This window comes from Homo sapiens, chromosome 20 (assembly GCF_000001405.40).
Source record: "Homo sapiens chromosome 20, GRCh38.p14 Primary Assembly".
Taxonomy (NCBI): Eukaryota; Metazoa; Chordata; class Mammalia; order Primates; family Hominidae; genus Homo; species Homo sapiens.
Genome location: NC_000020.11, coordinates 45820560 through 45833722, shown reverse-complemented (window position 1 = coordinate 45833722; position 13163 = coordinate 45820560). Strand labels below are relative to the sequence as shown.

The 13163-nt window shown below is 51.9% G+C and overlaps 1 protein-coding gene across 2 annotated transcripts, besides 1 other annotated feature; it reads left to right on the top strand.

The window, feature by feature from the left end:
* Window positions 1–416: 416 nt before the first annotated feature.
* TNNC2 (troponin C2, fast skeletal type) lies at window positions 417–10509 on the top strand. Of its 2 annotated transcripts, none has more exons than XM_011529031.3 (6): window positions 417–472; window positions 8889–8940; window positions 9085–9228; window positions 9317–9431; window positions 9596–9732; window positions 10344–10509. In XM_011529031.3, the coding sequence occupies exons 2-6, from the start codon at window positions 8931–8933 to the stop codon at window positions 10373–10375; spliced, it is 438 nt and encodes a 145-aa protein (XP_011527333.1). In that variant the 5' UTR covers window positions 417–472; window positions 8889–8930; the 3' UTR covers window positions 10376–10509. The 2 variants fall into 2 exon arrangements, with proteins under 2 accessions (XP_011527333.1, NP_003270.1); NM_003279.3 differs by lacking the exon at window positions 417–472 and adding an exon at window positions 6411–6477.
* Window positions 12516–13163: an enhancer, noted in NCBI's record as "H3K27ac hESC enhancer chr20:44449199-44449846 (GRCh37/hg19 assembly coordinates)". NCBI's record gives its function as "activates a minimal SCP1, AML or CMV promoter by ChIP-STARR-seq in primed H9 embryonic stem cells {active_cell/tissue: H9 hESC(primed)}" and the evidence as "EXISTENCE:reporter gene assay evidence [ECO:0000049][PMID:30033119]".

Sequence of the window (13163 nt, the reverse complement as noted above, 5' to 3'; positions counted from 1 at the left end):
TTGGGAAGCCTGGGTCGGCCTGAGGGAGTCCCAGGCCTGCCGCAGAGTCATCCCAGTCCGGCCAGGCGCGTACCCTCCTTGAATCCTCCCACCCCACCCACGTCATCTCCAATCTGTCCCACTCATTTCCACCCAACGCTCTTTAACTTCACAAAGTAATTATGCAATAGTAGGGAGGCCATGTCTCCCGAGAGAAAACGAAGGGCCAGGAGAAGATGCGTGATTTGGGTTGGTTGGAATCTGACCTCGCTGAGCCTAGGTTTTCTCATATGTAAAACAGGAACAATACTGCTAAAACTAATTTTGCAGCTCTTGTAAGAACGCTCGTCCCGTGCCTGGCATAGAGCAAAGGCTGACGAAATGATCACTTACATAATGATTATTGTTTCTACAGTGTTCACAGGCTTGCACAATCTGATTTGAACCTCACACATGGGAAGTAGGCAAACAGGGAAACTGAGGACCAGAGAGGGTGAGTTACTTGGCTTAACCACACAGCTTGCCAGAGGTTTCTTTCTTTCTTTCTCTCTCTCTCTTTCTTTCTTTCTCTCTCTCTCTTTCTTTCTTTCTTTCTCTTTTGAGATGGAGTCTCACTCTGTCACCTAGGCTGGAGTGCAGTGGCACCATCTCTGCTTACTGCAACCTCCGCCTCCCTGGGCTCAGGTCATCCCTCCCACCTCAGCCTCCCCAGTAGCTAGGAATAGAGGCGTTCGCCACCACACCCAGCTAATTTTTGTATTTTTTGTAGAGATGGGATTTGGCCATGTTGCCCAGGCTGGTCTCGAATTCCTGGGCTCAAGTGATCCACCTGCCTCTGCCTCCCTCAGAGGTTTCTGAGTATGGGGCCTGGAGCCCAGGTCCCCTGCTGCATACTGCCCTTTTCCTGTGCAGCAGGCCTGATAATCTCAGTGGCTCCCCAGCTTTGTTTTATCTTTTATCCGCAGGGCAGCTGCAGGTCAAGAAAAAGTTATTGTGGCTTCCTGTCACAAAGCCTAGGTATCAGTTGTTAGGGCAGATTTTGATAGTTATACAATACAATAAATAAAATCAAAATCTCTCCAAAGTAGCTCCTACCCTTTCTGAGTGGCACAGGAGAGAAGGGTGGGGGAAAATGCCTTGGGATAAGCAGAAGGTATTTCAGCTCCCTGCCCTCCCATGTGAGCAGAAAGGCTGGGGTTCTTATTTTCTGAGGGTCCACTTTCTACATCCTGCTCTAGGCACTTTACTGTCACATCTCTCCCTCACAGCGTCCTGGGGAAGAGGCTGTAACTGGACATTAATGGTCCATTTTCAAGATGAAGAAACTGAGGCAAAGTGACTTCCCCAAGATCCACATCTGGGAAATAGAGGGGCTGGGATTTTAAGCCTAAGTTTGTGCAATTTTATTTATTTATTTATTTATTTTTAGAGAGGGAGACAGAGTCTTGCTCTGTCGCCCAGGCTGGAGTACAGTGATGCAATCTTGGCTCACTGTAACCTCTGCCTCCCAGGTTCAAGCAATTCTCCTGCCTCAGCCTCCTGAGTGGCTGGGACTACAGGCATGTGCCACCATGCGGCTAATTTTTGTATTTTTAGTAGAGGTGGGGTTTCACCATATTGGCCAGGCTGATCTGGAACACCTGGCCTCAAGTGATCCACCTGCCTCTACCTCCCAAAGTGCTGGGATTACAGGCGTGAGCCACTGTGCCTGGCCAGTTTGCACAATTTCAAACCTCGAATTACTCTTCATTTGGCTTATGGGCAAGATATTGGGACAAAAAAGGCATACTTCATTCATTAATTCAACACTCACTCATTCACCAACCATTGGTTAAAAAATAACTTGTCCTTCGGTATATGCCTTACATGTCTGGGCACAAAGCTGGTCTTCATGAAACCATGGGTTGTTAGAGCAGGAGGGCCCCTCAGAAATCTGGCCTATCACCTCCATTTTACAGATAGGTAGTCTGAGGCTTAGTGAGGGGAAGGGCTTATGCTGGGTCATATAAACAGTCAGAACTAGGAGATCTGAAGGTTGCGCATTCTCCACTATTATTATTTCTTCTTCTTTTTGCTTCCTTCTTCCTCCTCCTGCTTCTTCTTCCTTTTTTATTTATTTTTATTTATTTTATTTTTTTTGAGACAGAGTCTTACTCCATCACCCAGGCTGGAGTCCAATGGCACACTCTTGGCTCACTACAACCTCCATCTCCTGGGTTCAAGCGATTTTCCTGCCTCAAGTAATCCCAAGTAGCTGGAATTACAAGTAATCCCAAGTAGCTGGAATTACAGGCATGTGCCACCACACCCGGCTAATTTTTGTATTTTTAGTAGAGATGGGGTTTCACCATGTTGGCCAGGCTGGTCTCGAACTGCTGACCTCAAATGATCCACCTGCCTCAGCCTCCCAAAGTGCTGGGATTAGAGACATGAGCCACCGTGCCCGGCCTCTTCTTTCAGAGACAGAGTCTCACTCTGTTGTGAGGCTGGAGTGCAGGGGTGCGATCATAGCTCACTGCAGCCTCAAACTCCTGGGCTCAAGTGATTCTCCCACCTCAGCCTCCCAAGTATCTGGGACTACAGATATGTGCCCACCATGCCTGGCTAGTATTTTATTTTTTGTAAAGGTGGGGTTGCATGTTGCCCAGGCTGATCTTGAACTCTTGGCCTGAAGAGATCCTCCTACCTCTGCCTCCCAATGTGCTGGGATTACAAGTATGAGCTACCACCCACCATTCTTTGTTTTATTTTAATTTTTTAATTGGAGACAGCGTCTCGCCATGTTGCCCAGGCTGGTATTGAACTCCTGGGCTCAAGAGATCCACCTGCCTCAGCTTCCCAATGTGCTAGGATTAAAAGTGTGAGCCACTGCCCCCATTCTTAAATTCTGTATGGATATCTCCCTACAGCCTCCCTGAGAAATGGTCATCTAGCTCCTGTTTGGGTATACTCAGTGATACGGAGCTCATTACCTCCTGAGGCCACCTGTTCCCATTATTGTTCAACTATGACTATTAGGAAGTTCCCCCTTATATTGAACTAAATACCATCCAGTTCAGTTATTCTTATGTAGAATATAATATCTGTTGAACACCTGCTACATAGCAAGTGCTGAGCACTGGGAAATGTGATGATCTGTAGAACATAGAATGGGTTGTGAGCATAAGGTATGCTCAGTGCTATGATTGAGGAAACTACTAGAGACCACCTTGGACTCCCTGGTCTGGACACAGTGGGGGAAGGATCCCCGAGGAAGTGATGTTAGAGCTTAGAAAGATGATAGGGAAGTAGACAGATGAAGAGAGGAAAGATGGGAGTTTCTGGCAGAAAAAAACAGCATGTGCAAAGGCTTGAAGGTTCATAGAAGGTGGTGTTTAGAGTAGTCTTTTTTTTTTTTTTTTTTTTTTTGAGATGCAGTCTCCTTTTGTCGCCCAGGCTGGAGAGCAGTGGCATGATCTTGGCTCAGTGCAACCTTCGCCTGCCAGGTTCAAGTGATTCTTCTGCCTCAGCTTCCCAAGTAGCTGGGACTACAGGCGCCCACCACCACACCCAGCAGCAATTTTTTGTATTTTTAGTAGAGACAGGGTTTCACCATGCTGGCCAGGATGGTCTCGAACTCCTGACCTCGTGATCTGCCAGCCTGCACCTCCCAAAATGCTGGGATTACAGGCATGAGCCACCGTGCCCAGCCTAGAGCAGTATTTTAAAGTCTGATCAGAGCAGACAGCAACATGATGTGGAGGGAAGGAGTGAGATTAGAAGGGCCAATGGGACCTTGCTTGGCTACATTAAGCAATTTGGGCCTTACCTAATCCCTTGAATAAACAAAAGAACAAAGGCTGGGCTCAGGGGCTCATGCCTGTAATCCTAGCACTTTAGGAGGCTGAGGCAGGCGGATCACTTGAGGTCAGGAGTTTGAGACCAGCCTGGCCAACATGATGAAACTTTTTTTTTTTTTGAGACGGGGTCTTGCTCTGTTGCCCAGGCTGGAGTGCAGTGGTGTGATCTCGGCTCACTGCAAGCTCTGCCTCCCAGGTTCACACCATTCTCCTGCCTCAGCCTCAGCCTCCCAAGTAGCTGGGACTACAGGCGCCCACCACCATGCCCGGCTAATTTTTTTGTATTTTTAGTAGAGATGGGGTTTCACTGTGTTAGCCAGGATGGTCTCGATCTCCTGACCTCGTGATCCGCCCATCTCAGCCTCCCAAAGTGGTGGGATTACAGGCCTGAGCCACCGTGCCCGGTCGATGAAACCTTGTCTCTACAAAAAGTAAAAAATTTGCCGGGTGTGGTAGCTCACACCTGTAATCCCAGTGCTTTGGGAGGCTGAGGTGGGCGGATCACCTGAGGTTGGGAGTTTGAGACCAGCTTGACCAACATGGAGAAACCCTGTCTCTACTAAAAATACAAAATTAGCCGGGCATGGTGGCTCATGCCTGTAATTCCGGCTACTCGGGAGGCTGAGGCAGGAGAATTGCTTGAACCCAAGAGGCGGAGGTTGTGGTGAGCCGAGATTGCACCATTGTACTCCAGCCTGGGCAACAAGAGCAAAACTCTGTCTCAAAAAAAAAAAAAAAAAAAAACCAAAAACAAAAATTAGCTGGGCGTAGTGGTATGTGCCTGTAATCCTAGCTACTCAGAAGGCTGAGGCATGAGAATCACTTGAACCTAGGAGGCGGAGGGTGCAGTGAGCCGAGATTGTGCCACTGCATTCCAGCCTGGGTGACAGAGTGAGAGTCTGTCTCAAAAACAAAACCCCAAAAAACCAAAAAACAATAAAAACTAAATTGGAATCCCATGGGTCTCCCTCACCCTTTGGCACCCTGCCTGCCTGGGGGAGGCCTTATTTAGCTTGGCCCAGCCCTGCTGAGCTTTCCTTGGGAATGTCTATATATAGGGGAAGGGGGCAGCCCAGTTGCCACTGTCCATCTGCATTCCTTGGTGTCCAGCCCCCCTTTCCTGGCCCCAGAGCCTGCTATCGGTTGTCTTGGTGCTCTTTCTGTCCACGTAGCCACTGTCTACAAGCCTTGCCTACTCCCCAGTGCCCAGCCTGCACCTTGTGGATTCTCAGGTTGGGCTCCCTCTGGACTTGGTCTGCCCACCCCTTTACTCCCCAGATGACCAGATTTCTTCACTGAGCTCTAGGAAGGGGCCAGCTGTCCTTTTACCACTTAAAGAACCTTCCCCTGCCTACTCCTTACTTCAAAAAAAGTGAATCCAAACACCCTTTCCCTGGAGAAGGTAACTTTCAGAGAAGGATCTTTGCTTTCAATGATTATTTCTCCTCCAAATGCACATCCTCCTCTCCTCCATCCCTCCATACATTTTTCCATCTGGACAGGTGCCCCAAGGACTGTCTGTCCCAACTTCCCTCCAGTCAGGATTAATAATAAGAATCATCAACATGGGTGGGCATGGTGCCTCATGACTGTAATTCTAGCACTTTGGGAAACCAAGGTGGAAGGATCCCCTGAGCCTAGGAGTTCGAGACCAGCCTGGGCAACATGGTGAAACCCCATCTCTATAAAAATACAAAAAAAAAAAAAGCCAGGGGTGGTGGTGCACCTCTAGTCCCAGCTACTCGGGAGGCTGAAGTGGGAGGATCACTTGAGCCCAGGAGATAGAGGCTGCAGTGAGCTATAATAGCACCACTGCACATCAGCCTTGGTGACAGAGTGAGTATAGACCTTTATAATTTACAAAGCTCTGCAGTCAAGTGGGGATAATCGTTGCTACCTCATAGGAGGAGCACTAGATGAGATCATGTTAAAATGCTTAGCACAGTGTGTGGCACGTCATGGGGTTCAGTAAACAGTGGCCTACCTGTCACTTTCTCCTCCTATCCCCTGCCCCTTACCATGGTTCAAAGACGGGACATTCCTCTTGCCAAGCACCAACGCTGTGTACCCAGCACAAGCTAGGTGACTTATACCCGGGTTCCCATTTACCATGGTCTCTCTGTGAGGGAGACCCCACAGACAGGTCCAATCCCACAGATGAAGAAATGGCTCAGAGAGGCACTGCTACCGGCCCAAGGTCACACAACTCGCAGAGGCTGGCCTTGGATCTTGGGTTTTGGACTTCAAGGCTTGTACTCTCCCCATTTTACCATGCTGCCTCACCCTTTACTACTCTGATCATCCTTACCATCTTGGAGCCAGTGTGCTTCCTCGGTCGGGGGGACTCCAAGGCAGTGGAACAGGGCAGGCCTTCCTCACAAGAATCTAGGACGTCAAGGCCTGCCACCTGCTTGGAGGCTTAAATTTCTCTGCAAGGGCCCTTGGCTAAATTAGGTAATGGGTTCAGACTGTGGGAGGGGTGGGACTCGCTGACCCCAGGATCTGATTGGGCAGGGTCTCCAGTGCTGGGGAGCAGGGAGGTGGGAGGGGAGGGTGCCCCTACAAATCCCGGGGGCTAGAGCAGGCCAGGTCATCTTTGGGTGGTGGAGTGCAAAGGAGGCGACCTGCAACAGAGGAGTCCCGGTCACCAGCAACCATGGTAAGGACAAGAGGGGACTTTGTGCCTTTACTCACGGGAGCACTCTGGACCCCTTTCAGGCCAGGCCTGGGTGCTCTGTGGGGCAGTAACTTGGATGTTTGAGGTTGGAGCATGGAGGTTCCTGGAACCCAGGTGTCTTGGAGGAAGGCCTTTGACTTTTCTTGAAAGGGGAGGGCTGGGATATTCCAGAGATTGATCCTTAAGGCTTGCTGACTGCCTACTCACTTCTGGAAACTTCCAGCAGTGTCATTCATAGACCTGTGAAGAGCTCTTAGCTTGTTTCCTTCACACAGTGGGGACTCTGAGGGGTCAGAGTGAGTCACCCAGCAGGCCAGTGGCAGGGGTGAGCCAGAAGCCTGGCCAAACCCTCCTATCATCATGGAGAGAAGAAAGCCTCCTCCAGAAGACGGGAGGCCGGCAGGGCGTGGGGCCTGCTCAGATGCAGGGCTCTGGGAGCCCTGAGGATGATGGGAAGGGGCAGAAGATGACAGACCAGAGTTAGAGAGACTCCGCTCTCCTAGAGAGGGCTTCTGATTTGGAGCTGTTGTTTTGGTCTGAGATCCCCCTCCCCACTTCACTTCAAGGAGTAACTAGATCCCAGAGGCCAGCTGCTGTTGCCCATGCCTGACTAAAAATAGCCTGCCCTCCTGGCATAGGGAAAGAGGAGGAGAGGAAGGAGGGGGAGAAGGAGGAGCACTGGTGGCCAGCTGGCTGAAGAGCTCCTTGGAAGCCTCACCCTGTCCTCACTGCCAGCCTCAATCCAAAGCCTCTGACCCAGATGGCCTGGCTTGGATATGACGTGGAAACCCCTGCAGAAATCTCACTTTCATGTCAAGGCCTCCATCACATTCGGCCCCCCATGAGGGGCCTTTTCTCCAATGACTGAATCCTAAGAAGGAAGCTGACAGCCTCCGACTCTGCCAGTTCTCTGAGGGGCGGGATGATGTGTCTTTTATCTCTTCTTTGTGGTTCCAGTGCCTGATCTGTGGCCTGACATGCAGCAAGTACTCAATAACTTTGTGTTGCATTATTATTTATTTGAGAACAAACATTTTATTGAGCAACTATTAAAGTACCGGGCACCATTAGGAGCTGCAGAAAACTGGAAAATAGTGCTGGAATGGTGCTAGCCCTTTACAAAGCCCTTTCACACCCCTGATATCTCATCCCTGAAAAGCTACAGAGAAAAGATGAAGGCACGCTAATTGACGTGCCTAAGGTCACTGGGGGGTGGGGGGGGTTCCCGACTTGGCCTTCAATTGACAAGTGAGAAGGCCTTGGGCTTAACTTGTTGTCTCCTCTCTTTTGCTCAAAACTGGGGTCACAGGCTGCGCGCGGTGGCTCACGCCTGTAATCCCATCACTTTGGGAAGCTGAGGCAGGCAGATCGCCTAAGGTAGGGGGTTCGAGACCAGCCTGACCAACATGGAGAAACCTCATCTCTACTAAAAATACAAAATTAGCCGGGCGTTGTGGTGCATGCCTGTAATCCCAGCTACTCGGGAGGCTGAGGGAGAAGAATCGCTTGAACCCCGGAGGTGGGGGTTGCGGTTGTGGCGAGCTGAGATCGTGCCATTACACTGCAGCCTAGGCAACAAGAGCAAAACTCCGTCTCAAAACAAAACAAAACAAACAAACAAAAAAAACTGGGGTCAGGCCGGGCATGGTGGCTCACGCCTGTAATCCCAGCACTTTGGGAAGCCGAGGTGGGCGGATCACCTGATGTGAGGAGTTCAAGACCAGCCTGGCCAACATGGTAAAACCTCGTCTCTACTAAAAATACAAAAATTAGCTGGGCGTGTTGGCGCATGCCTGTAATCCCAGCTACTCGAGAGGCTGAGGGAGGAGAATCGCTTGAACCCAGGAGGTGGAGGTTGCAGTGAGCCGAGATCACGCCATTGCACTCCAGCCTGGGCGACAGGGCGAGACTGTCACAAAAACAAAAAGCAAAAACAAAAACTGGGGTCAGAAGCTGGGCACAGTGGCTCAAGCCTGTAATCCTAGCACTTTGGGAGGCCGAGGTGGCAGGATCACTTGAACCCAGGAGTTCAAAACCAGCCTGGGTAATATAGTGGGACCCCATCTCTACAAAAAATTTTAAAAATTAGGCGTGGTGTATGCTATAGTCCCAGCTACTCAGGAGGCTGAAGTGGGACGATTGCTTGAGCCCAGGAGGTTGAGGCTGCAGTGAGCTATGATCACACTACTGCACTCCAGCATGTGTGACAGAACGAGACAAAACAAAACTGTGATTGGGTGCTGTGCGGGCACACAATTATGTGACAAGTTTGAAGTTGTTCTTCTGGAGAACCAAGGGCGCTGACAGAGTGGGGGTTGGGAAGAATGGCTTTGAGGTGAGGAACTGCTCTGGGGCTGCCTCTTCAGCTCAGACTTTCTCTGTGTCTCCTGCAGACGGACCAGCAGGCTGAGGCCAGGTCCTACCTCAGCGAAGAGATGATCGCTGGTGAGTGAGGCGCGGCAGGCTGGGGGCTGGGTGGATGTATGCTGGGGACATGTTGGCCTCTAGGCAGGGTGGGGGTTGGGGGGGGGTAGGTGTGAGGCTGACAGTCCAGCAGGCCTCACCTCTGCCCTCTGCCCTCCCTCGCAGAGTTCAAGGCTGCCTTTGACATGTTTGATGCTGATGGTGGTGGGGACATCAGCGTCAAGGAGTTGGGCACGGTGATGAGGATGCTGGGCCAGACACCCACCAAGGAGGAGCTGGACGCCATCATCGAGGAGGTGGATGAGGACGGTGAGCGGGTGTCCCTCGGAGGCAGGGGATGGTGGGGAGAGGCGGCAGCGGCTGGGCTCAGGCTCAGTCTGCCACCTGCTGCCCGCAGGCAGCGGCACCATCGACTTCGAGGAGTTCTTGGTCATGATGGTGCGCCAGATGAAAGAGGACGCGAAAGGGAAGAGCGAGGAGGAGCTGGCCGAGTGCTTCCGCATCTTCGACAGGTGCGCTGGGGGCCCGGGAGCCGAGGGAGGGGCTTAGCAGTCAGAACCCGGCCGGCAGCGCTGGAAGCTTCCCCGTGTTGGGAGTGCGGAAGCGGGGCGTCGAGTGTGGTGGCCAGGGCAGCTCGCCCCGGCCCTGAGCCCTGCCCTGTCCCTCGGACCTGAAGGAATGCAGACGGCTACATCGACCCGGAGGAGCTGGCTGAGATTTTCAGGGCCTCCGGGGAGCACGTGACGGACGAGGAGATCGAATCTCTGATGAAAGACGGCGACAAGAACAACGACGGCCGCATTGACTTCGACGGTGAGGGCCAACGGGAGCTTGGGAAGAGCGGGTGGGAGCCCCAGAGGACGGCGGGCACTGGTGCCTGGCTCCGGTGCAGTGTCCTTGGCCTTGTGGGCTGGGCTGGGCGTAACTTCACCAAGTTCCCCATAGTCTCCTGGGGGCAGGTATAGAAGCGCTCCACGACTCTGTGCAGTTTATCAATTAATGACCAGGCAGGGGGGCGTGGTGGCTCAGGACTGTAAAATCCTAGAACTTTGGGAGGATGAGGTGGGAGGATTGCTTGAGGCCAAGAGTTCGAGACCAGCCTGGGCAACATAGTGAGACCCTGTCTTTACAAAAAATAAAATAAAATAAAAAGGCAGGTGTGGTGGCACACCTGTGGTCCCAGTTGCTCCGGGGGCTGAGGTAAGAGGATCGCTTGAGCCTAGGAGATCAAGGCTGCAATGAGTTATGATTGTGCCACTGCACTCTAGCCTGGGTGACAGACCTTGGCGACCTTGGCAACAGAGTGAGACTCTGTCTCAACAAAAACAAAAACAAAAAGTCATCCCCTCTGTGTGGCTGGAGCCCTGGCCTGGCCTCTGCGTCCCCAGTGGGACCCCTGACCCTCTCCCTCTCCTTTCCCTCAGAGTTCCTGAAGATGATGGAGGGCGTGCAGTAAGGAGTGGACAGTCGCCTCTACCAAGATCGCGTGTCCCTAGGGTGTGGGAGACTCCGCCCTGCCGGGTCCCCACCAGGGAGGCGCGACCCCTTGTGGGTCTTTGTCTGGAAGGAATAAAAGCAAATGTTCCAAAACTCGTGGCCTGAATGAGGGGAGAGCCGAGGACAGCAGGTCGCAAGGGCTGTGGTCCAGGGCGCCATCCCGGCTGGCACCACCCGGAGCACCCTTGGGGATCCCCGGGAGAGGCTGTCTGAGCGGCGGGATGTGGAAGGGAGCTGGGCCCTGGAGCCCGAGGCGGCGGCTGCGAGTGCTCGATGGCGCTGACTCGCTCTGCAGGTTTGCAGCCGGCTCCTGACAGCTGGCGCTGGGCGTGCACAGCTTGGCGGACAGGCAGTGGTGGCTCCAGGAGGCTGCAGGGGCTTGGAGTTGAGTCAGGGTGAGCCGGCGGACTGCGGAGGGGTCCTGAGACGGCAGGTAGGGTGAGGGGGTGGGAGAGGCTAGAACCCTGGGGAGCCGGGAAGCTCCCTCACTTCCCCACCATCCTTTTCTGGAACGTTTGCGTCTTAGATGTTGTCGTAGCTGCCACCTTCTGCAGGCTCCCTAGCTGGGGAGAGGGGAAGTAGGTGCCCATCCATGCCAGGCAGCATTGTTTCTGCTCGACCTTTTACTTCTTCTGTTCTTCCAAGTGCTTACTCCTCAAATTGTACTGGTGGTTGTAGGGGAGGGTGGAGGCACCCACTAAGGAGATTCTGATCTCATCATTTGACCCCAGATCCCTGCCTCCACCTGGTCTCTGCCAGTGCGCTCTACAGAGGGCCATCAGCAGCAGCGAGCTAAAATATCTGACTTGGCCACTGCCCTGTTGAAAGTAGTTCAAGGCTCCTCACTGCTTCTACAATGAGATCCAAATTCCTTCCCTCCCTCCCTCCCTCCCTCTCTTTCTTCCCATAGTCCTCACAGGGCTGCAGCCACACTGGGCAATGTATTCCTGATATGGACCTGGGGTGCATTTTCAAGCCCTTGGTACTTTGCACATGCTGTTTGCCCTCCCTGGAATGCCCTTGTCCTTCTTATAAGCTGGCAGATTCTTCAACCTACAAGACCCAGCTCAACTACCATCTCCTCCCTTGAACCTTGCCCTCACTGGCTATTTGCTGCCATAGCAATTCGTATACAACAGGTATCAGATGGCAGCTAATTAAGTGTAGGGGTAGTTTAGCTTTAGAGACAGAATGCCTGTGTGTGAGTGCTCACTGCCTGTGACAAGCTAAACCACTCTGTGCCACAGTTTCCTCATCTGTAAAATGGGGATAGTGATAGTAAACACGGGGTTGTGAGAAGAAGTTAGTGTGTGCAAAGTGCTTACAGCAGTGCCTGGCACATAGCAAGCATTTTTTTTTTTAACAGAGTTTCGCTCTTGTCATCCAGGCTGGAGTGCAGTGGCGCGATCTCAGCTCACTGCAACCTCCGCCTCCTGGGTTCGAGCAATTCTTCTGCCTCAGCCTCCTGAGTAGCTGGGATTACCGGTGTCCACCACCATGCCTGGCTAATTTTTGTATTTTTAGTAGAGACCAGGTTTCGCCATGTTGGCCAGGCTGGTCTTGAACTCCTGATCTCAGGTGATCCGCCTGCCTCAGCCTCCCAAAGTGCTGGGATTACAGGCATGAGCCACCACATCTGGCCTTCTGTTTTGTTTTTTAAATGAGACAGGGTCTCGCTCTGTTGCCCAGGCTGGAGTGCAGTAGGTGATCACAGCTCACTGTAGCCTTGACCTCCCGGGCTCAAGCAATCCTCCTGTCTCAGCCTCCCGAGTAGCTGGGACTATAAATGGGTGACCCCTCCCCACTAGTTTTTGTTATTTTTAGCAGAGATGGGGTCTCACTATGTTGCCCAGGCTGGTCTCAAACTCTTGAGCTCAAAGAATCCTCTCACCTTGGCCTCCCAAAGTGTTGGGATTATAGGCATGAGCCATCGTGCCCAGCCTCTATTGTCACCTTACTCATTGCTTTAGTTCTTCCTCTCCATCTGTCTTTTTCTCTTCCTCTTTTGTCCTATTCATGTTTTTCTGTTTTTATTTCCAGCCAGGATCAGTGCTGGGGTTTGGTAATCATTACTATTTACTGAGTGCCTACTGTATACTATGTCTTACAGACATTGTCTCATTCACTCACATAACATCCCTAGAGGCAGATGTTGTTATCTCCATTTTACAGTTGGAAAACTAAGGCCTAGGGAGGTGAAGTACACAGGCACCCAGATAATAACCTAGGTAGTATCGCCATGTGCTATGTGGTGTGCACGGGAACAAGGCTCTTAATTCTGATGCCATCTACCTGTTATTGGTTCTACCTGGATGTCTTTTTTTTTTTTTTTTTGAAATATATACATATTTTAAAATAGAGATGGAGGCTGGGTGCTGTGGCTCATGCCTGTAATCCCAGCACTTTGGAAGCCGAGGCAGGCGGATCACTTGAGGCCAGGAGTTTGAGACCAGCCTGGCCAACATGGAAAAACCTCCTCTGTACTAAGAATGTAAAAATTAGCCAGACACATGCCTGTAATCTTAGCTACTTGGGAGGCTGAGGCAGGAGAATCGCTGGAACCCAAGAGGTGGAAGTTGCAGTGAGCCAAGATTGCGCCACTGCACTCCAGCTTGGGTGACAGAGTGAGACTCTGTCTTAAAAAATAACATAAGCCAGGCGTGGTGGCTCATGCCTGTAAACTTAGCACTTTGGGAGGCCAAAGCGGGTGGATCACCTGAGGTCGGGAGTTTGAGACCAGCCTGACC